This window comes from Homo sapiens, chromosome 5 (assembly GCF_000001405.40).
Source record: "Homo sapiens chromosome 5, GRCh38.p14 Primary Assembly".
NCBI lineage: Eukaryota > Metazoa > Chordata > Mammalia > Primates > Hominidae > Homo > Homo sapiens.
The window spans coordinates 26,394,530-26,418,633 of record NC_000005.10 but is presented as its reverse complement, the minus strand read 5'-3'; the positions used below and the strand labels follow the sequence as shown (position 1 = coordinate 26,418,633).

The 24,104-nt window shown below is 37.4% G+C and overlaps 1 annotated feature.

The window, feature by feature from the left end:
* Nucleotides 891-1,390: an enhancer, noted in NCBI's record as "H3K4me1 hESC enhancer chr5:26417353-26417852 (GRCh37/hg19 assembly coordinates)". NCBI's record gives its function as "activates a minimal SCP1, AML or CMV promoter by ChIP-STARR-seq in primed H9 embryonic stem cells {active_cell/tissue: H9 hESC(primed)}" and the evidence as "EXISTENCE:reporter gene assay evidence [ECO:0000049][PMID:30033119]".

Genomic DNA, 24,104 nt, shown 5'->3' with positions numbered 1-24,104 from the left:
GACCTATATTCAAAATGTCAGTTTTCCCCAAACATACCTACAATTTAAAAATTAGAACAGGCATAAATTGCATAGTCAAAATTTGAAAAGATATGGGTATTTCACTATAAATTATTCATACATGTATGCACTTTTCTTTTTTTTTTCTTTTTAAATTATTTTTTAACAGCCATCTTGCCCTGTCACCCAAGCTAGAATTTGGGGGGCCTCAGAGAGGGGGAATCACAGCTCACCGAAACTTCGAGCTCACTGGCACAAGTGATCCTGTAGCTAGGATCACAGGGGCACACCACCATGCTACCATGCCTGGCTAATTTTTTTTTTTTTTTTTTTTTTACTTTTAGTAGAGAGAGGTTCACCCTATGTTGCCCAGGTGGTTCACAAATTCCTGGCCTCAAGTAAAGTAATTCTTCTGCTTCAGCTTCCCAAAGTTCTGGGATTATAGTTGTGAGCCACCACACCAGGCCTAAATAATAATTTTAAAACATATCAAAACAAAAGACAAAATTGAAGACAGCATTATTCCACAAAAGATAAGATTTTAATTTTCCATGCTTGAGAAAAAAAATAATATTTATAAGGCATAAATAAAATACAAGTCTAAGACAAAGTGAAAAACAACCAAGATAATTATGATAAAATACTATAAACAAAAAGTTACAGTAAAGAGATCCTATATTTCCAACAACAAATTTGAAAAAAAAATAAATACAATAGGAACCCAGAAAATGCAAATAAACATATTATGTGATACTATTTCACATTTACCAGAGGAATACATTGTAATTCTGAAAATACTAAGATTTCAAGATATGTGAAAAAACAGGAACTCTTATAAAGTCCCATTGGAAGTATGAATTGGATAAAAAATGTCACATATAAATTTAGTAATTTGTAGTAAACATAAAGCTATGCATACTGACAGAATAGCACTTTCACTTCTGGCCAAATACTCTAGAAGCCCTACCACATATTCAAAAGAAATCATATATTAGAATATAAATTGCAGAAATATCTTTTGCTAATTGTGAAAATGCATGAAGCCTAAAACCTTAAAGTAAAAGAAGAAATGATGGGTGTACTTTATTAATACAATCATGTCTTATTTAACTACAAGGGTATATTCTGAGAAATGCATTATTAGGTGATTTCATCATTGTGCAAATCATGGCAGCTGCGGCCTGTCTGGTGCAGCTCCTGTGAAGATGCCGACTGCAGTGGGGAAGGTGCAGCCAGGGTTGTGTGCTCTGTGGGACTGCTGGGAGCTGAGGACAAGCGGGAGTCCTGCCCTCCACTGAGTTGGCAGGATGGAAGCCCCTCGCTTCTGGAGGCAGCCATAGCTGCTTAGCCATGGCTCCAGATACAGGCATCTCTGTGCTCCCAGGAGCCCGGGAAGCCCCATGCCCCTCCATTCTTGAAAGTGCCTGCTCCCATTCCTGCTGCCTGCTCCAGGACAGAGCAAAGTTGTGGCTGAGCCTGGGCACTGTTGCAACATGGCCTTGTGTGCACACTCAGGGCTACGCTGACATGCCAGCCCCCGGCTGCCTCAACCCCATCTGGACTTCTGGTGCTGACAAGCACATTAGGGAGACCAAGGGGGCATGAGAGTGACTCGGGGAGGTCCTGCAGGCAGACCTTGGCACAAACAGTCTAGGTGCCATGGCAGACAGGTTCCTGTATGGAAAAGGGCAGGTCCTTGGTGAAATCCCACCTTAAAGCCGGTGATGGCCTGAAGTCTGGGGGCCGGGCTGCCAGTTCCAGGTCGAGTCCTTGACCCAAAGTGAGAAATTACGGTGCTTTTTCCAGGCCCTCCCATGGTTGCCCATGGACCAATTGGCATACACTTCTTCCCTTCTGAGCCCATAAAAACCCCTGGAATCATCCAGACTCAAACAAATGTCAGGACTACCAGCTGTGGAAGGGTGCTACCCACTTCAAGTATCCTTGACTCGTTGGACGATCTGCTGTGGAAAGGAGCTACTCACTGCGGGTCTCCTCTGGGCTGAGAGCTGGACACTTGTGACAACGTGCCTGTAGAAAGAAACTACTTCATGTCTCCTGAGAGCTGCTCTGTCACTCAGTGAAGCTCCTCTCTGCCTTGCACACTCTCCATTGTCTGTCTATCTCATTCTTCCTAGATGTGAGACAAATGTTGGTCCCACTGAGTGGCAGGACTGAAAGAGCTGTAATAAAAATAGGGTTGAAACACGCACCCCCACTTGCCCTGTTGCTGGCAATGAGGAGAGAAGGGCTGTGGGCTTTGGGGAAGCCCAGACCTGTAGGATCTTCCCCAAGCCAGGGCTGGAACATCCTCCTTGGTGCTCTACAGTTCTTGGCATGTCCAAGCCTCTAGGCACCACTGCATTCCCCACCTCCAGACGTAGGTGATGACAGCGGAAGCCCTGTGCCCTACATCTGATCCAGTTGCAGCCTCGCACAAAGCTGGTGCCTGTGCCGGAGCCTGGAGCTGCCTGCCCGGCCGAAGCAGCCACTGTTCCTGGCTGTGTGTAGTGGTTGGACCCTGTGCTTGCTCACCCACACACACCTCGCCTCTCCACACCTGGCTTGCCCTTGGAAAGTGTTGCATCCAGGCCTTTAGAGCAAGACAAGTGCAGCCTGCTGGGTTGAGTGGGCAAAACAAAACCAGCAGGCACAGCACCTTCAGGAAGAAGGCACTCCCGGCCACAGAGGTTTCTGGCTGGTAAAGTGACACCCCAAGGATCCCATGACACAGACATCATAGAGTGTTTGTAAAAACACCTAGATGGTATAGTCCACTACACATCTAGGCTATATTGTGTAGCCTACTGCCCTCAGGCTACAAATCTGTATAACATGTTACTGTACTGAATACTGTAGGCAATTGTAACATAATGGTTAATATTTTTCTATCTAAACATATAAAGTGTACAGTAAAAATATGCTTTAAAAGATAAAAGATGATAAACTCATATAGACATTTGTGATGAAAGGAGCATGTAGGATCAGAAATTGCTTCCAGTGAGTCAGTGAGTGAGAGGTGAGTGAATGTGAAGATCTAGAACATTATTGTATGTTACTGTAAACTTTGTAAACACTGTACACTTAGGCAACACTGAATTATAAGACATAGTTTTCTTTCTTCAATAATAAATTAACTTTACCTGGCTGTAGCTTCTTTACTTTATACAGTTTTAACTTTTAAAACACTTCAGAATCTTTTGTAATAACACTTAGCTTAAAACACAAACACATTGTACAGCTATTTTCTTTGTTGATATCCATTTTCTATAAGCTTTTTTCTACTTTAGTTTTACTTTTTAAACTTTTTTTGTTAACAACATTTTTTTGTTAATACTACTACACACACACCAGCCTAGCCCTACACAGGATGGGGATCATCAGTATCACTATCTTCCACCTCCACTTCTTGTCCTACTGGAAAGTCATCATGGGCAATAACTTGCATGACACTGTCATCTCCTATGATAACAACGTCTTCTGGAATACCTCTTAAAGGATCTGCCTGAGACTGTTTTACAGTGAACTTTTATTTTTAAAAAGTAGAGGTTTATTTCTAAATAACAATAAAAAGTACAGCATAGTAAATACATAAATCAGCAACACAGTCATTTATTATCGTTACCAAGTATTGTGTACTATCTATAATTGTATCTGCTATACTTTTACAAAACTGGCAGTGCAGTAGATTTGTTTACATTGGCATCCCCAGAAACACATGGGCAATGTGTGGCACTAAGACATCACAACACCTATTGTATTCCTAGGCAATATAAAATTTTTAGCTTCCTATTATGATATGGTTCATTGTTGACTGATATGTTGTGTGGCACATGACTGTATAATGTACAATTTATAGCAGTTAAAAATGAATAAACAAATTCTAAGTAAAGGATAATGTATTACAGCATGAAAATAGGTCCACAATATATTCATGAAATAAAACAAGTTTTTAAAAACAGGAAGTCAATCTAAAATTTTATGCATAGAAAAGAAATCTTCATATAAAAATTTGTTTTTTCCTTCATATATGAAAGTGTCAAATATCTCCTAAGTTTAATGTGTTAAATTTATGAATGGATATGTGTGTATGCATAATAAAATGCAGAGAAAACACTACAATTAAGAACCCTAAAAGGAATACATACTATGATTTTTTTTCCCCACATAGTGTCACTCTGTCACCCAGGCTGGAATGCAGTGGTGTGATCTTGGCTCACTGCAGCCTCCGCCTCCAGACTTCAAGTGATTCCCATGCCTCAGTCTCCTGAGTAGCTGGGATTACAGGTGTATTCCATCATACCTGGCTAAGTTTAGTATTTTTAGTAGAGACGGGGTTTTGCCATGTTGCCCAGGCTGGTCTCGAACTCCTGACCTCAAGTGATCCATCTACCTTGGCCTTCCAAAGTGCTGGTATTATAGGCATGAGCCTCCACACCTAGCTTACACCAATTCCTTAACCAACCAATACAATAATGCAAAAAAAGTTAAAGTTAAAAAAACTACAAAAATAGCAAAGTTGGAACCAGAAAAAATTGCAAAAGAAGGAAGATGAAGAAAAGGGAAAAAAATAGATGAGACAAATAGTAAACAATTATTAAGATTGTATATTTTAATCAAATTATATAAATAATTCCCTTAAATGGAAATATTTTTAACATACCCAACTAAAAGCAGATGTCTGATATTTTAAAAGGGGATCAAACATATGCCAGCTAAAGGTACCAATTTCGATTCTAGATATTCATATAGATTAAAAGAAAAAAATGAAAATATTACTACAATAATAATAATTAACACAAATCTGCAATGGCTATATTAAGGCATAAAGCTGTATTTCAGTTAATATATATTAACAGCAGTAAAAGAGAGTCATTTCATAAGGACAAAGTAGTCAAATTATCAAGAAAACTTATTAATTCTAGACATTTTGAACATAAATATATAATTTCAAGATACATGAGGTTAAAATAAAAAGATATGGTTGCAAGCAGAAATAAACAAATCAAAAATTATAGTGGGAGATTTCAGTACCCCTTTACAACAATTGATAGAACAAGCGAACAGAAAATCAATTAGAGCACAAAAGATGTTATCAACACTATCAACCAGCTCAACCTGATCTAATTATTTAGAACATTTAATCAAAAACTGACTATTTTCAAGTCCTTTCAGGAAAATTAACAAGATACACCATATTTGGGATCTTGAAACAAGTATTATTATATATAAAATAATGCAATCATTGAAATGTATGTTGTCTGAACACTACATAATTAAAAGAGAAATAAATAACAGGAAGTTACATTAAAAATATCAAATATTGTGATATCAAATAATACTCTTATATAACTCTAATCAAAGAAGATATACAAAAAGGACATTAGAATTTATTTTAACTGAATTAAAATAATAACACAATATATCAACATTTGTGGGGTGCCACTAAAACAATATATGGGGTAAATTTACATTAATACACCACTATATTAAGAAAAATAGAAAAGTTCTCAAATCAATGATCATTGTAACAAACTTAAGGAAATAGAAAATGTAACAAATTTAATCCTAAGTAGAAGGAGAAAGAAAATAATAAATATCAAAGCACAGATGTATACAACTAAAAATATTTGATAATTTGAATTTCATCAAAATTAATACCTGCTTATTGAAAGACAGTTTTAAAAGGATGAAATTACAGGTATATTCTTAGAAAAAATATTTGCAAATTAAATATCTAATAAAACATCAAGAATGCAAAAACATCTAAAACTAAAATTAAAAGAAAATGAAATTAAACATGGGCACAATATTTGAACTGATAGCTTAGCAAACATGATAATGAAATGGTACATAAGACAGACAAAGATGCTTCACTGCATTAGTCTTTAAGGAAATGCAAATTTAATACGCAATGTGATATCACTACATATATTTGGAAAGTGTAAAAATTAAAAGTCTGGTTATACTAGTGTTGATAAGGATGAAGAACAATTGGAAGTCTCATATCCTACTGATGAGATGCAAATGGAAAAACAGTTCAGCAGTAAACCTACACCTATGATATTATCTACATGTCTCACTCCTAGGTATTCATTCAAAAGTAATGAAAGTATGTGTCTACACAAATACTCATACATGAATTTCTACACCACTTTTAGGGGAATGAAAATCAAAAATTAGCAACAACAAATGTCTAACAATAAGCATACTGTTGTATATCCGTGCATTTTACTTCTACTCAGTAATGAGCTATGAAAAAAAATTGTAAATTCTCAGAATACATACTCCTAGCAAAAAAAAAATCAATTTGTATAAATTTGAGACAATGCAATCTAATCTATAGTGAGAGAGAGAACGTCAGTTGTAGAAATTAGTTTGCTAGGAAGGAGAAGGTGGGAGGGATTATTACAAAGGGCCACCAAGGTACTTGTGATGGTAATGGATATATTTGGTATCCTTATTGTTGTGATCGTTCTACAGATATAGACATATGCCAAATTTTACAAAGTGTACATTTTAAACAAATATAATTTATCATATTGTAATTATAATTATGTATATATGTATACCTACATTTAAGTGTCATCTCAGAAAGGCACTATGCTTTCAAGGTAAATGTGTACTAATTATCCATACAGACAATTGCAATAATGTCAAATATCTTAGAGAAAATGAAAAGGAGAGAATGATATTTGACTTCTTTATTTAGTTTAGTTGTATTAGTCTGTTTTCATACTGTGATGAAGAAATATCCGAGACTGGGAAATTTATAAAGGAAAGAGGTTTATTTGGCTCACAGTTCTACATGGCTTGAGAGGCCTCAGGAAATTTACGATCATGGCAGAAGGAGAAGCAAATATGTTTTTCTTCATATGGCAGCAGGAGAGAGACATGCCAAGCAAAATGGGAAAAGCCTCATATAAAACCATCAGATCTCACGACTCACTCACTGTCAAGAAAAGAGCATGGGAGTAACTGCCCCCATGATTCAATTACCTCCCTTCAGGTCTCTCAATGACATATGGAGATTATGGGAACTACAATTCAAGATAAGATTTGGGTGGGAACACAGAGCCAAAGCATATCTTTCCAACCCTAGACCCTCCCAAATCTCTTCTTTCTCACATTTCAAAAGACAATCATGCCTTTTCAACAGTCCCTTAAAGTCTTAGCTCATTCCAGCATTAACCCAAAAGTCCAAGTTCAAAGTCTCATCTGAGACAAGGCAAGCCACCTATGAGCCTGTAAAATCAAAAGCAAGTTAGTTACTTCCTAGATACAATGGGGGTACAGACATTGGGTAAATACACTTGTTCCAAATGGGAGAAATTTGCCAAAACAATGGGACCACAGGGCCTACACAAGTCCAAAATCCAATAGAGCAGTCATTAAACCTTAAAGTTTTAAAATAATCTCTTTTGACTCCATGTCTCACATCCAGGGCATGCTGATGCTAAAAGTGGGCTCCCACGGCCTTGGGCAGCTCCAACTCTGTGGCTTAGTAGGGTGCAGCCCCTCTTCCAACTGCTTTAACAAGCTGGCATTGAGTGCCTATGGCTTTTCCAGGTGCATGGTGCAAGCTGTCAGTGGATCTAGCATTCTGGGGTCTGCAGAATGGTGGCCGTCTTCTCACAGCTCCACTAGGCAGTACCCTGGTAGGGACTCTGTGTGGGAGTGCCAACTCCATATTTCCCTTCTGCGCTCCCTAGCAAATATTCTCCACGAGGGTTCCACCCCTGCAGCAAACTTCTGCCTGGACATCCAGGCATTTCCATGCACTCCCTAAAATCTAGGCAGAGGTTCCCAAACCCCAATTCTTGACTTATGTTCACCCACAGGGTCAACACCACATGGAAGCAGCCAAGGCTTGGGGCTTGCACACTGAAAAGCAGTGTACCAAGCTGTACCTTGGCTCCTTTTAGACATGTCTAGAGCAGAAGCAGCTGAACATAGGGCACCATGTCCCAAGGACACACAGAGCAGGGGGCCCTGGGCCTAGCCCAGGAAACCATTTTTTCTTCCTAGGCTCCAGGCCTTTGGTTGGAGGAGTTGTCACGACGGTCTCTGACATGCCCTCAAGACATTTTGCCCATTGACTTGACAACTGACATTCAACTTATCATAGCTTATGCAAATTTCTGTTGCTGGCTATAATTTCTCCCCAGAAAATGGGTTTTTATTTTATCTCACATCATCAGGCTGCAAATTTTCCAAATGTTTATGCTCTGCTTCCTCTCACACAATTTGCTGCTTAGAAATTTCTTCCACCAGATAACCTAAATCATCTCTCTAAATTTCAAAGTTCCAAAGATCTCTAGGGCAGGGGCAAAACGCCAGCAGTCTGTTTGCCAAAACATAACAAGAATCACCTTTATTCCATTTCCAAATAAGTTCCTCATCTCCATTTGAGACCACCTCTGCCTGGACTTCCTTGTCCATAGCATTTTAGTCAAAGCCATTCAACAAGTCTCTAAGAAGTTCCAAATTTTCCCACATTTTCCTATCTTCTTCTGAGTCCTCCAAACTGTCCCAACCTCTGCCTGTTACCCAGTTCCAAAGTCACCTCCACATTTTTGAGTATCCTTACTGCAGCACCCCACTCTTGGTACCAATTTATTGTATTAATCCATTCTCACACTGCTGTGAAGAAATACTTAAGACTTGGTAGCTTATAAAGAAAAGAGGTTTAACCAGTCGCAGTTCTAATGGTTGGAAAGGCCTCAGGAAACTTACAATTATGGCACAAGGGGAAGCAAACATGTCCTTATTCACATGGTGGCAGGAGAGAGAAGTACCAAGCCAAAGGGGGAAAGCCCCTTATAAAACCACCAGATTACATGAGAACTCACTATGACGAGACCAGCATGGGGTTAACTGCCCCCATGATTCAATTACTTCCCAGTGTGTCCCTCCCACAATACATGGAGATTATGGAAACTACAACTCAGGATGAGATTTGGGTGGGACCGCAAAGCCAAGCCATATCAACAACATCAAAAAGTGACACAAAATTTAACAAAATATGCAACAATAGTATTTCAACGCCAAATCCCTCATAGTTTAATAACATTAAGGATATTTACTATGTGTGGGATGTTTCAATTGAGAGCACATCAAACAGTAGTCATATGGAAGAAAGAATAATCAAGCACATGCTTGAATATGGTCTTTGATAAAGTGATAATTATCAATATATTGATTGCAGTCAGAGATGTGAACATGTAACCATACCGAACATACAAAGACTGTGGTAGAGAGATTTTTATGTACGATATTCTCGTAAGTGTTTCTTCTCTCAACCCTGGAGGGTGGAAGATAGTATAGCAGGATTAGTTCCATGTATCAATTCATAGACACCCATTAATCATTATAATTTCCCCCACTTCTGTATTTGCAAATAAGTTATATAACTTCTTTGCTATAAAATTACAATATTTCATTTGGGAAAACCAGAAGTGCAAGGAGAAAACTGGGCATGGTATATATTTATTTAAATTTATCTGAGTTAAAAGGCTACAGTAAAGTGAAATAGGCTGAGAAATACATCATCATGCCAGAAGGAAGAGATCCTATAGAAGATTAACTTTTCAAAAATTATTGATTAAATAAAGAATTTAGTCATCTAAATGAAGTGGTGTTTCAACTTTGCCCACACTTAAACTTAGTTCATATAATTCAAAAATGGAAAACAACCAAAATTCCCACTAACATACCAATGGATAAATAAATTTTGATAAGCTACACAAATAAATATTAAATAAAAATACTTTATATGTATATGCATATGTATATGTATATGTGTTCACATGACACCATGAATGAAATTCAAAAATGTTATTTTGAGTGATGGGGGCCACAAATAAAATAGTACATGTTTGATGATTCTATTTAATTATTTTCACAAAGGGTCATAACAAATTGATACTTGTGGAAGTCAGAAGAGTGGTTATACTGGGCCAGGAGCTATAGACTAATAATGTGTGCCAGGAAACCTAATGGGATGCTGGAAAATTTTTTTGGTAAGGATTAGTAGGTAGCAAATTATTAACATATATACATAATATTATTTCATGTTATACATTTTACTAAATATAGGCTATCCTCCAAAAAATGATATAAACTAATTAAAAATGTAGGAGTATATTATCGTCATGGTCTGAAAGTGTCAATACTGTAAAAATATCAGTGCTACAAAAGCATTATTTTAAATAAGTGGAAATGCTTTGAATTCTTTATTATTACTTAAATTCATTATTAATTAATCATTAATGTGTTTGTAGGCTTTATTTACATTTACTTAATTTTTGGCATGTTTGCCTCAAAGAAAGCACCCAATCAGATATGCCACCACTCAGTGATTGCCTTAGAATATGATGCTATATAAAGCTAGGATTAGATGTGAAGAGATGATTTTCATCAATAAGTGAGCTGGACGCATATTTCATTCCCATGAAATAACGTATGAGTTCAATTAAATTCCCAGAAATATTCCAAAAGGCTTTTTGCTAGGATTTAGTAGGCTCATTTTAAATATGGGTGGAAAATAACATATTGACCTAAAGTGACTATAGAACCACTAAGGTCATAGCAAAAACATTCTTGGGAAAAGAAAAGTAATGTTGGATGATGTATAGGACCATATATTGAAAATTATCATTAAGTATCAATAATTAAAACAAGGTGATGATGATGTAAATATAAAAAAAAATTGACCAAAGGACCTGGGAAGTTAGTCCAGATATAGATAAATACATGTATAGTCATCAAAGTTATAAAAACATTCCTGTAAATTACAATGGGGGAGAAGTGTCCTTTCCAAAAATAAATAGTGAAGGATGAATTGAAAAGCTTTATATAAATAAAATAAATTATGAGTTTTACATTGCTATATGAAAAAACTACTAATTAATCAATTCAGTATTGATCATATGATTAGAATATCTTTTTTGAACTTGATATAGTTAAAATTACAAAAGGAATGACTTTGAAGGATAATATTAATAAATTGAACTTCAGTAACATTAAGAATAAGCATCAAAATTTCACAATTAGGAGAATCAAAGGGCAAGTTACAATAATGAAAGAGATATGTACTATTGTGTTTGAAAAAGATTAGTAATGATAACATAGAAATCAGCTCCCATAAATAATTGAGAAACAATCAATTGAATTAAAAATGGCACAAAGTTGGAATATATACTTTACAAAAGTTAAGTTAGAAAATCATGTGTTTTAATTTAAAAAAAATCAGCTTTCATTGAAAGATGAGTTTGGGGTTGAATCCTTTTGTCACCAATATCTTGAAGAGAAAGCCCTGGGTGTAATCATTTTGGTAGGAGTTATTACCTCTTACATACAACTATTATCATGTAGATTTAAAGTCAGAAGGAGCCCAAGGAGTATTTATTGAATTGAGGTGAAATATTAAGTCTGTTGTTGGTACTAAACTGATTCAACCAGCACATTTATATTTGATATTTTGCCTTTCACTTAAGATTATCAGTAATTATATAAATGAATGCCCACATATTATTAAAATTTTAAAATTCAATTCAACAATTGATGACCTTCATGAATTCTTTTGAACATATCTTGGTACATTTCAAGATACTTTAATTTAAACACTAATAGATAAAAACCTATGTATTTAACTCAGAGACATATGAAGAACAAAGGCTTGATTCTAAAAATGTATTTTCTCTTAGGAAAAGAAAATTAATCCAAGAACATACGCCTTATTGAAAATAACTATGAAGCATGTTTAAAAGCAAAAGTTGGTGAATGGAGCAGCTAATTATAATACTAAGCAAATAGTTATGTGTGGGTTAAAATTAGTGATTCTTCATACCAAATAAATTTAACATGCAAAACATAAACATATTTTTCCATGTAAATATCATAGGACACCAGAATTGAAGGTTTTTTGTTTTTTTTATGATGCAAGTTTTCTTTGTCTGTCTGTTATTTTGTGTTATTAATAGCTTTCTTAAAAGCTATGTCACATTAACATGCAGGCACAGTTTGAGGAGAGAAATGAAATGTTTGGCAGTCTACCATTCCTTGTATGTATATATAATTTTTGGATTATGACATCATCAAACAGGAGATGGCCAATGTAATTTTCAATTCTGATAAGGTGCTCCAAGAAAAAGGTAGATTGCCTTCTATAGCGTATGAAATATGTATTAAGAGAGAAGTCTCTTACTGAAGATGAAATTTATAAAGAATCTTTTCATTCTCTGCCATAAGAAAACCTCATATATCACTCATGGAAAAGAAGAAGGAAGAGCTCACTGGAATGGCGTAATAAAATGTCAGTACTAGATGGTGATTAAAAACACCATCTAAATTCTATCTGGGCAGGATACTTGAGGATCCAGATCAAATAGGCCATGTATCAAGAGAGCTGACTAAATATCACAATGTTCCATAGTGATGGGTTAGATAAATGCCAGAGAAATATATAGGCTGCATACAAGAATTACTAAGCAGACATCTAAAATCATGCTTCATAAGCATTAATCCAAATCAGTTGGAATATTTGAAATGGTGTTATTTATTATTAATATATTTGGAGGATTTTTTAAATTGTTTTCATAGCATCAAAGACAGGAGCCCATCAGATGTACTATCACTCAGTTATTTCTCTTGAATGTGAAGCTGTAGAAGGCTAGTATTGTTGTGAAAAGATGGGGTTTGCCTATAATTATATGGGAAGATGCTTTTCATCCTGAGATATTTTTCCACCATTATCTTTTTTTTCATTTTGTTGCCTTTAATGCTATTTTCCAAAAAATCTAGTTTTATAGAAAATTTTATGGATAAAGAATTTAGCATACCTTCAGATAGTAATTTAGAATTCAGAAGATGTTAGTGGCTGATCCAATAAGAATTTACCTAGAGCCTGTAACCCTTGAATATGAACTAGAAGAAACGTGTAATAAGAGAAACAGATATGACCATCCTTCTCCTGCAACCATAACCATAAATGTTCCACAGCTATTCTACTGAAAACACTGCATTCTCATCTTATTTGAATAGTTTATTAAGAGAAGTTCAATGTAATTCTCATTCTTACTACTTTGTAGGTAAGTTTTTGGTCATTGTTTTCTCTCTTCTTTCAAATTGTATCTTTGCATTTGGTTCTTCGTAATTTAAATAAAATATGTGTTTGTATAGATTTATTGACTTCTTCTGCTTAGTGTTCACTGGGCTTCCTGGATCTTTCATTAGGTATTGGTAATTAACTTTGGAAAATGTATATAATTTTTGTAATATATGTATATATTTAAGGCTATGATGTTTGTCTTAAGAATGTCTTAGTTATAATAAGCACTGACATACTGTATTTTAATACAATGTTATTGAATTTTAATCTCAATTTAATTTAATTGTTTCTTAATATCCAATTCATTTGTCTCCCTGTGAAACATGAGTTTCACAGTAGTATGCTATTTCACTAATAAACAGTTTGAGGTTGTGATGTTTAATACTATCAACTTGATTGTATTGAAGGATGCAAAGTATTGATCTTGGGTGTGTCTGTGAGGGTGTTGTCAAAGGAGTTTAATATTTGAGTAAGTGGGCTGGGAAAGATAGACCTGACCTTATTCTGGGTGGGCACCATCTAATCAGCTGCCAGAGTGGCCAGGATATAAATCAGGCAGAAAAACTTGAAAAGCTTAGACTGGCTTAGCCTCCCATCCTGCATCTTTCTCCCCGGCTGGATGCTTCCTGCCCTCGAACATTGGACTCCAAGTTCTTTGGCTTTGGGACTCAGACTGGCTTCCTTGCTCTTCAGCTTGCAGACAGACTATTGAGGGACTTTGGGATCATGTGAGTTAATACTACTTAATAAATGCTCCTTTATGTGTATATCTATCCAATTAGCTCTGTCCCTCTAGAGAACACTGACTAATAGAGATTTTGGTACCAGGAGTGGTTCTAGAGGAAACAATATTAAGGGTGGAGTTATTTCATTGGTTTTTGAGTTTTCTGGAGTTGCTGCTTAATATGATTAGACCCCAAAATGCTAAGGACACTACTTATAATAGTATGGAGAACACCGATAGTCCTTGGCATGAATTGTTTAGAGAGTTATGCAAAATAAATGCATTTGACACTCTTGTTGCACTGCTCATGAGAGGCAAGGAGTTTAGTGACTCTATACATAATACCTTTGACCATATGTGGAGAACGAAGACCCGTAATAAAGTCAGTTGATTGCTCCTAAGTTCACTGGACAAAGTGATAAAAGAAAATAATGAGCTCAGAGATTCTAACTCCCAGCTTCAGAAGCAGATACTGAGCCTCAACTCTGCTAAGATTGCCCTGAGTGAGAGTCTTATCTCCTGTAGAGAAAGAGCTGAAATTGTGGAAAAACAGACACTAGCTCCTATTATGGGAGCAGCTGACCTGCAGCAAAAGGTGCATGCACAGCCTCACCAGTTGTCTTTTGTTAAAGTAAAGCCATTGATTGAAAAAGTATGGGACTCTGCAACTTCGAAAGTGGATGTGTGGGAGGACCCTGATGAAGCTGGGTATACTGAGCTTGTAAACTATGATGAATCTATTTTGCCAGAAGAAACAGCTTCTCCATCCCCAGTAGTGGCAACATCCCCTCCTGACCCATGCTGTTATCAGCTTTTCCACCTTTGTCTGAGGGTATAAACCCTGCACTGCTGAGGCAACAGTGATGGCCTTCGCTGAGGCAGTTGCCAGACAAGATACTGTTGATTCTCCTAAGGAGCTACCCTATTTGCTTCTAGAACTAAAGTAGACCAGAGTCCCCGTGGGCCCATAGAAGTGAGTTTCGGAGTGTGACCCATGAGAAGGTGTGCTACACTCAAAAGGAACTGCTTGAGTTTTCTAATTTATATAAGCAGAAATCTGGAGAACAGGCACGGGAATGGATATTAAGGGTGTGGGGTAAGGGTGGAAGAATCATAGAGTTGAATCAGCTAAATTTATTAATTTGGGCCCCCTATGTAGGGATTCTGCATTTAATCTTGCAGCTCACGAACTTGAAAAAGGTGATAATAGTCTATCTGCTTGGTTACCTGAAATATGGATTAAAAGATGTACCACTTTGAATGAGCTGGAGATGCCTGATCTCCCTTGGTTTAATGTAGAGGAAGGGATCCAAAGGCTTAGGGAGATTGGGATGGTGGAGTGGATTAGTCACTTTAGACCTACTCTTCCCAGCTGGAAGAGTCCAGAAGATATACCTTTGATCAGTGCTTTGTGAAATAGGTTTGTGAGGGCAGCACCTGCATCTTTGAAGAGCCCTGTAATTGCTCTTCTATGTCAGATAAAGCAGTAAGAACCACAGTCACCTAACTACAAAATTTAAATACAGTGAGAATAATTGGATCGCAAGGTGGCAGGGGCCAAGTGGTGGCACTCAACTGTCAAAGACAAGGTATGTGTAGCTACCGTAAGGTACAGCAGAGGCAAAGCAGCTATCAGAATAGTCTGACTCATGTTGAGCTCTGGCATTGGCTAATTAATCATGGTGTTCCTAGAAGTGAAATTCATAGGAAGCCTACTGCACTGCTACTTAATTTATACAAGCAGAAAATTTCTAGGTCAAATGGACAAAAGACTAATTTGAATTATAAAAATAGATAATAGTGTTCTCTCAAACAATTTCCAGCCTTGAGCCAGTTTACAGACCCAGAACCCCTTAAATTAAGGGGAGGCCAGGTTCCCTTGAGAAAGGACCCACAGTACACTACCAATAATTTATGCAGTGAATCTTTCTCCCATCCTTCCCCACGGAGACCTCCGACCTATTACCGGGGTAACTGTGCACTGGGGAAAGGGAAATGATCAGACATTTCAGGGAATACTGAACCCTGGCTCTGAGCTGATGTTGATTCCAGGGCATCCAAAACGTCAGTGTGGTCCTCCAGTTAAAGTACGCACTTATGGAGGTCAGATAATTAATGAAATTTTAGCTCAGGTTTGACTTACAGTGGGTCCAGTGGATCCCCAGACGCATCCTGTGGTCATTCCCCCAGTGCCACAATGCATAATTGGCATAGACACATTTTGCAGCTTGCAGAACCCCCATATTGGCTTCCTGACTGATGGGTGAGGGCTATTATGGTGGGAAAGGCCAAATGGAAGCCACTGGAGCTGCTGCTAACTAGAAAAATAGTAAATAAAAAACAATATCACAACCCTGGAGGGATTGCAAAGATTTGTGCCACCATCAAGGACTTGAAAAACGCAGGCGTGGTGATTCCCACCGCAATATCCCCATTCACCTCTCCCATTTGGGCTGTGCAGAAGACAGATGGATCTTGGAAAATGACAGCGGATTATTGTAAGCTTAACCAAGTGGTGACTCCAATTGCAGCTGATGTATGAGACGTGATTTTATTGCTTGAGCAAATTAACACATCTCCTCATACCTGGTTTGCAGTCATTGACTTGGAAAATGACTTTTTCTCCATTCTTGTCTATAAGGCCCACCAGAAGCAATTTGCCTTAGCTGGCAAGGCCAACAATATACCTTTACTGTCCTACCTCAGGGGTATATCGACTCTCCGGATTTGTGTCATAATCTTATTCAGAGAGACCTTGATCACTTTTCGCTCCCACAAGATTTCACACTGGTCCATTTTATTAATGACATTATGCTGATTGGATCCAGTGAGCAAGAAGTAGCAAACACACTGAACTTATTGGTGAAACATTTGTGTGCTAGAGGATGGGAAATAAATCCAACTAAAATTCAGGGACCTTCTACCTCAGTAAAATTTCTAGGGGTCCAGTGGTGTGGGGCCTATTGGAATATTCCTTCTAAGGTGAAGGGTAAGTTGCTGCATTTCACCCTTCCTACAACTAAGAAAGAGGCACAAACCTAGTGGGCCTATTTAGATTTTGAAGGAAACATTCCTCTTTTGGGTGTGATACTCAGCCCATTTATCGAGTGACCTGAAAAGATGCCAGTTTTGAGTGGGGTCCAGGACAGGAGAAGGCTCTGCAACAGGTACAAGCTTCTGTCTAAGCTGCTCTGGCATTTGGGCCATATGAACCAGCAGATCCAATGGTGCTTGAGGTGTCAGTGGCAGATAGGGATGCTCTTTGGAGCCTTTGTCAAGCCCCCATAGGTGAATTACAGCAGAGGCCTCTAGGATTTTGAGCAAATTTCTGCCATCATCTGCAGATAACTACTCTCCTTTTGAGAGACAACTCTTGGCCTGTTACTGGGCTTTGGTGGAAACTGAATGTTTGACTATGGGTCATTAAGTCACCATGTGACCTGAACTGCTTATCATGGACTGGGTGCTTCCTGACCCATCTAGCCATAAGTGGGCTGTGCACAGGGGCATTCCATCATCAAATGGAAGTGGTATATATATGATCTGGCTTGGGCAGGTCCTGAAAGCACAAGTAAGTTACATGAGGGAGTATGCTCATGGTCTCCATTCCTGCTACCCTGCCTTCTCTTGCCCAGCCTGCACTGATGGCCTCTTGGGGAGTTCCCTATAATCAGTTGACAGAGGAAGACAAGACTAGGGCCTGGTTCACAGATGGTTCTGCATGATACTCAGGCACCACCGGTAAGTGGACAGCTGCAGCACTACAACCCCTTTATAGGACATCCCTGAAGGACAGCAATGAAGGAAAATCCTCCCAGTCAGCAGAACTTCAAGCAGTGCACCTGGTTGTGCACTTTGCATGGAAGGAGAAACTGCCAGATGTGAGATTATATACTGATTCATGGGCTGTAGCCAATGGTTTGGCTGGATGGTTAGGAACTTGGAAGAAGCATGATTGGAAAATTGGTGACAAAGAAATTTGGAGAAGAGGTATGTGTATGGACCTCCCTGAGTGGTAAAAAACTGAAGATATTTGTATCCCATGTGAGTGCTCACCAATGGGTGACCTCAGCAGAGGAGGAGTTTAATAATCAAGCTGATAGGATGACACATTCTGTGAACACCACTCAGCCTCTTTCCCCAGCCATCCCTGTTATTGCTCAATGGGCCCATGAACAAAGTGGCCATGGTGACAGGGTTGGATGTTACACATGGGATCGCAACATGGACTTCCACTCACCAATTCTGACCTGGCTGTACCACTGCCGATTGCGCAGTTTGCCAGCAGCAGAGACCAACACTGAGCCCTCAATATGGCATCATTCCTCGGGGTGATCAGCCAGCCACCTGGTGGCAGGTTGACTCTATTGGACCTCTTCTATTAGGGAAAGAGCAGAGGTTTGTCCTTCTTGGAATGCACACTTACACTGGATATAGGTTTGCCTGTCCTGCATGCAGTGCTTCTACTAAACTATCATCTGTGGACTCATGGAATGCCTTATCCACCATTATGATCTTGCACACAGCCTTGCCTCTGACCAAGGCACTCAATTTGTGGCTACAGAATTGTGGCAGTGGGCTCATGCTCATGGGATTCATTGGTCTTACCATGTTCCCCAACATCATGAAGCAGCTGGATTGATATAATGGTGGAATGGCCTTCTGAAGTGACAATTACAATGCCTACCAGATGACAATACTTTGCAGGGCTGAGGCAAATTTCCCCAGAAGTTTGTGTATGCTCTGAATCACCTTCCAATATACGGTATTGTTTCTCCCATGGCCAGGATTCATGGGTCCAGGAATCTAAGGGTGGAAGTGGAAGTGGCACCACTACCATTACCCCTTAAAGTGAAGGCAGTGTGATCCACTAGCAAAATGTTTGTTTCTTGTTCCCATGACATTACTCTCTGCTGGCCTAGAGGTCTTAGTTCCAGGGGGAGGAAGCTGCCGCCAGGAGACACAAAACTGATTCCATTAAACTGGAGGTTAAGATGGCCACTTGGACACCTGGGGCTCCTCCTACCTTTAAGTTAACAGGCTAAGAAGGGAGTTGCAGTGTTGGCTGGGGTGATTGACCAGGACTATCAAGATGAAATCAGTCTACTACTCCACAACTGAGGTAAGAAAGAGTATGCATGGAATACAGAAGATTCATTAGGGTGTCACTTAGTGTTACCATGTTCTGTGATTAAGGTCAATGGGGTATTACAACAGCCCAATTCAGGCAGGACTACAAATGGTCCAGACCCTTCAGGAATGAAGGTTTGGGTCACTCCACCAGGAAACAAACAATATGACCTGTTTAGGTGCTTGCTGAAGGCAATGGGAATACATAATAGGTAGTAGAAGAAGGTAGTAACCAATACCAGCTGTAACCAAGTGACCAGTTGCAGAAACGGGGACTGTAATTGTCACAAGCATTTCCTCCTTCTTTTGTTAGAAACATGTTTGTGCATGAATACACCTGCACTAAGAAAATCTCTTCATTTTATTTCCTTTTTTCTTTGTCATTTGACATAGGACTTACTGAGTTCATATCAACATTTAAATATTGCTAACTTTATGTAATAGCATTTGGGTTGGGGACTGGTGCATTTCTGTTTGTAGGAAGGTTAGTTGTATTATGTTAGGCATAAATGATGGCCTTATAATTGTCTTTATTTGAAGATTTTGTATAATCTCACGAGATGTGTATGGTTTCAAGTTGACAGGGGGTGGACTTGTGATGGTTAATACCTAGTGTCCAGTTGGTTGGATTAAAGGATGCCGATTATTGATTCTGCGTGTGTCTGTGAGGGTGTTGCCAAAGGAAGTTAACATTTGAGTCAGTGGGCTGGAAATAGCAGACCCACCCTTAATCTCAGTGGGCACCATCTAAACAGCTACCAGCATGGCCAGGATATAAAGCAGGCAGAAAAATGTGAAAAGACTATACTGGTTTAGCCTTCCAGCCTACAACTTTCTCCTGTGCTTCATGCTCTCTGCCCTCAAACATCAGACTCCAAGTTCTTCAGCTTTGGGACTCAGACTGGCATCCTTGCTCCTCAGCTTGCAGGCCTATTGTGGGACCTTGTAATTGTGTGAGTTAATACTCTTTAATAAACTCCTCTTTTTATATATCTATATAGGGTAATATATATTTATATATAAATATATATATAAATTAGTAAATATATAAATATTAATGTTTATATATTTATATTTTTTCCATTTTGTCCTTTCTGAGATATGTTCAATGTCTTTCCTTTCATAATGATCTTGAATTAACTGAGAAGGTTTATTATATATATATAATATATAAATATATAATAAAATATACAATATATATATTTTATAATACATAATATATAAATATATTTTACAATATATAGAATAATATATAAATTATGTAATATGTATATAATATATAAATAGAATAATATATATATAATTGTGTTAGTTCTGTTCCTCTAGAGAGCCCTTACTAATATAATGTTTTCTACCTATCCATTTCATTAATGACTTTTAGCTTAATTTTCTGGGGTTATGGAATGTACATGGTGGGTGTGATTTCGATCTTTGAAAATTTATTTGGGTTTGTTTCAGGGTCCAGGATACAGTCTTTACTGGTCAATGATTCTGGTGCACATGAAAAATTATAGGTACTTTGCAATTTATTGGATAACTGGTCTATAGGTCAATTAAGTTAATTGTGTTTCTTTTTGTGTGTGTGTGTGTGTGTTTTATAAATTTTTATTGTTTATATAAATAACATATTGTATAGTTCTAAAATTTGCTTTTATCTTTTCATTCAATATTAGTGGCTGAGATATAGACATATTAATTGATACATATCGATATATTCCATTAATTTTAACTACTTCCCATTATTTAATATACTGTGATTTATCAATTCTCTTATGTATTTTTATTACAAACAATGATACAATGAACATTCTTGACATGTCTCTTTGAACACATGGACAATAACCATGATAAGATCTGTATATGCAGATATGTGTGTACCTAGAAGTGGAATTGCTGAGTCTTTTTTTTTTTAATTTTATTATTATTATACTTTAAGTTTTAGGGTGCATGTGCACAACATGCAGTTTTGTTACATATGTATACATGTGCCATGTTGGTGTGCTGCACCCATTAACTCGTCATTTAGCATTAGGTATATCTCCTAATGCTATCCCTCCCCCCTCCCCCCACCCCACAACAGTCCCCGGGGTGTGATGTTCCCCTTCCTGTGTCCATGTGTTCTCATTGTTCAGTTCCTACCTATGAGTGAGAACATGTGGTGTTTGTTTTTTTGTCCCTATGATAGTTTGCTGAGAATGATGGTTTCCAGCTTCATCTATGTCTCTACAAAGGACATGAACTCATCATTTTTTATGGCTGCATAGTAATCCATGGTGTATATGTGCCACATTTTCTTAATCCAGTCTATCATTGTTGGACATTTGGGTTGGTTCCAAGTCTTTGCTATTGTGAATAGTGCCACAATAAACATACGTGTGCATGTGTCTTTATAGCAGCATGATTTATAATCCTTTGGGTATATACCCAGTAATGGGATGGCTGGGTCAAATGGTATTTCTAGTTCTAGATCCCTGAGGAATCTCCACACTGACTTCCACAATGGTTGAACTAGTTTATAGTCCCACCAACAGTGTAAAAGTGTTCCTATTTCTCCACATCTTCTCCAGCACCTGTTGTTTCCTGACTTTTTAATGATCACCATTCTAACTGGTGTGAGATGGTATCGCATTTTGGTTTTGATTTGCATTTTTCTAATGGCCAGTGATGATGAGCATTTTTTCCTGTGTTTTTTGGCACATAAATGTCTTCTTTTGAGAAGTGTCTGTTCATATCCTTCGTCCACTTTTTGATGGGATTGTTTGCTTTTTTCTTGTAAATTTGTTTGAGTTCATTGTAGATTCTGGATATTAGCCCTTTGTCAGATGAGTAGGTTGCAAAAATTTTCTCCCATTCTGTAGGTTGCCTGTTTACTCTGATGGTAGTTTCTTTTGCTGTGCAGAAGCTCTTTAGTTTAATAAGATACCATTTGTCAATTTTGGCTTTTGTTGACATTGCTTTTGGTGTTAAATAGTCTATATGGTTGCTGATGTTTCTTCTTCTGTTTTGTCAATGACATAACAGTTTGTTAGCATTTTCTTTTATAATTACTGATGCCTGCTTCTTTATCTAGTACCATTACTTTGCTTTATATATTTTGATGCTGTGCTGGTAGAGAACACTAACATTATGATATTTGCATATGAAAATTCCCCTTTTATCATTTTGAAATATCTCATTTAATTTCTAGTGATGCTTCTTGCATCAAGAATTACTTTGTAGGTATTGGTTTAGGTAAAAAATAAAATGTTTTATAGTAATTTTTAATGCTTTTTTCTCAACTTTACATGAAAAATACTTTTCCAAAAATACAGAGAAGTAACTTCCCATAGTATATTTTTAACCTTCTCCATATTTTATTTGGAATTTGTTTCAGTGAGCTATTGTAGCCCATTTTGTTGATCACAATAATTTACATACTCCCACTTGCAAATTATACTCCTCCCCTTCCGCAAACAACAAAATTCTCATCCAGTGATAAGATCTTACTGAATGCTAAGGATCTTACTATCTCAGATCTGATTTTGATTATTTTTGTTTCAGAAAACTGTGCCCTAAAAGAAAATGTATCTGCCCCACACATCCAGCATACTATGGTGAAGAGGGAAAAGGTGAGCTGAAAGCAGCACTTTTATATAAAAAAGGAGACTATAAAACTCATAGTAATCAATATATGTAGAGGCTTAAGCAGATACTTATGTCCACTGGTCAAGCGTGGCTAGGTCTGTCCAAACTAGGGGTAGGAAAAGATTATTGATCATGTATCAGTGCTGCTTCTGGGGAGTAGCTCTATGATTCATTTTTCTACATCACACTTGGATCCCGTTTTCGAGGTACCTGTCCATTTTAACCATTCTGTTTGGTCATTTTTAAAAGGGCTTTAAAATATATAGATTACTTGGCATTTGAGATGCTTTTTCTGACTGTTTCCTGCTGAGAAATAAAAAGACAGAAGGGTAAACGCCTCTTTGCATTTGTTTCATAGAGATCTATTTTCTTTTAACTAAGACCAGTGGCACTTTTTTTCCCCTTAAATATTCATTCCATTTTGCCCTTTCTGAAATATGTTCAATGTCTTTCCTTTCATAATGATCTTGAATTAACTGAGATGGTTTATTACATTTTCTCCTCTATTATCTTGTTATTACACATTTCTTTATTATTCTTTGGGTCATTATCAAAGATTACAACACAAATCTTTGATTTATTGTACTGTGTCTTAAATTAATTTTATCACTTCTCATACAATATTTGGACCTTCCATCCTAGAAATCCAAGTACCATAAACCCCTGAACCTAATTATCAACATCCCATAAGTAACGCTATTGTTGTCCTGTATTTTAATATATTTTAAAACCATCAGCACGTTATTTTTATTTTACATAGTTCATTGTTATTTAAATGCATATACATATTTTTTTCTCTCCTTGCTTTTCATTTCCTCCTATCATTCAGTAATTTCATGTACTTCATTTTTTCTTTTGTCTAAAGAAATGTTCTGTAATATTTCTTTTAGAGTTATTTCTATGGTTAATTATCTTAGTTTTTAGTTGTCTAAACATATCTTTACTTGCTGTTCATTGAGATAATATTTTTATCATAAAATTCTGGTTTGTTATTTATTTTTCAAGTATATTAAAAACTTCATTTTATTATCATACACCGTTTCTGCTGAAACGTTGGGCATTGGTCTAATTACTGCTCCTGTGATGGTAATGCACCTTGCTTCCTCTGGTTAATATTAAGATGCTCTCTTTGCTTAAGTCTTTCAGTAGTAGTATTACTGCGTGTGCGGTAGGCTAAAAATACCTCCATCTCTGAAAATATATATTCACTTGCTAGTCTTCAGAACCTGTAAATATTATCTTACACGACAAGTGAGGCAATAATTTGAGGATCTTGAGAGGAAGCATTTCTCCTGCATGATCCAGGTGGGCCCTAAATGCAACCACATGTATTCTTATGAGAGGTGAGAGTTGTTCTGATACAGACATATAGAGGAGAAGGCAACGTGAAGACCGAGGCAGAGATTGGAATGATGTGGCCACAAGCCAAGGACTGCCACAGAATGCTGGGCAGCCACCAGAAGCTCCATGAGGCAAGGAAGGAATTCTTCTCCACAGCCTCTGGAGGGAGGCCCT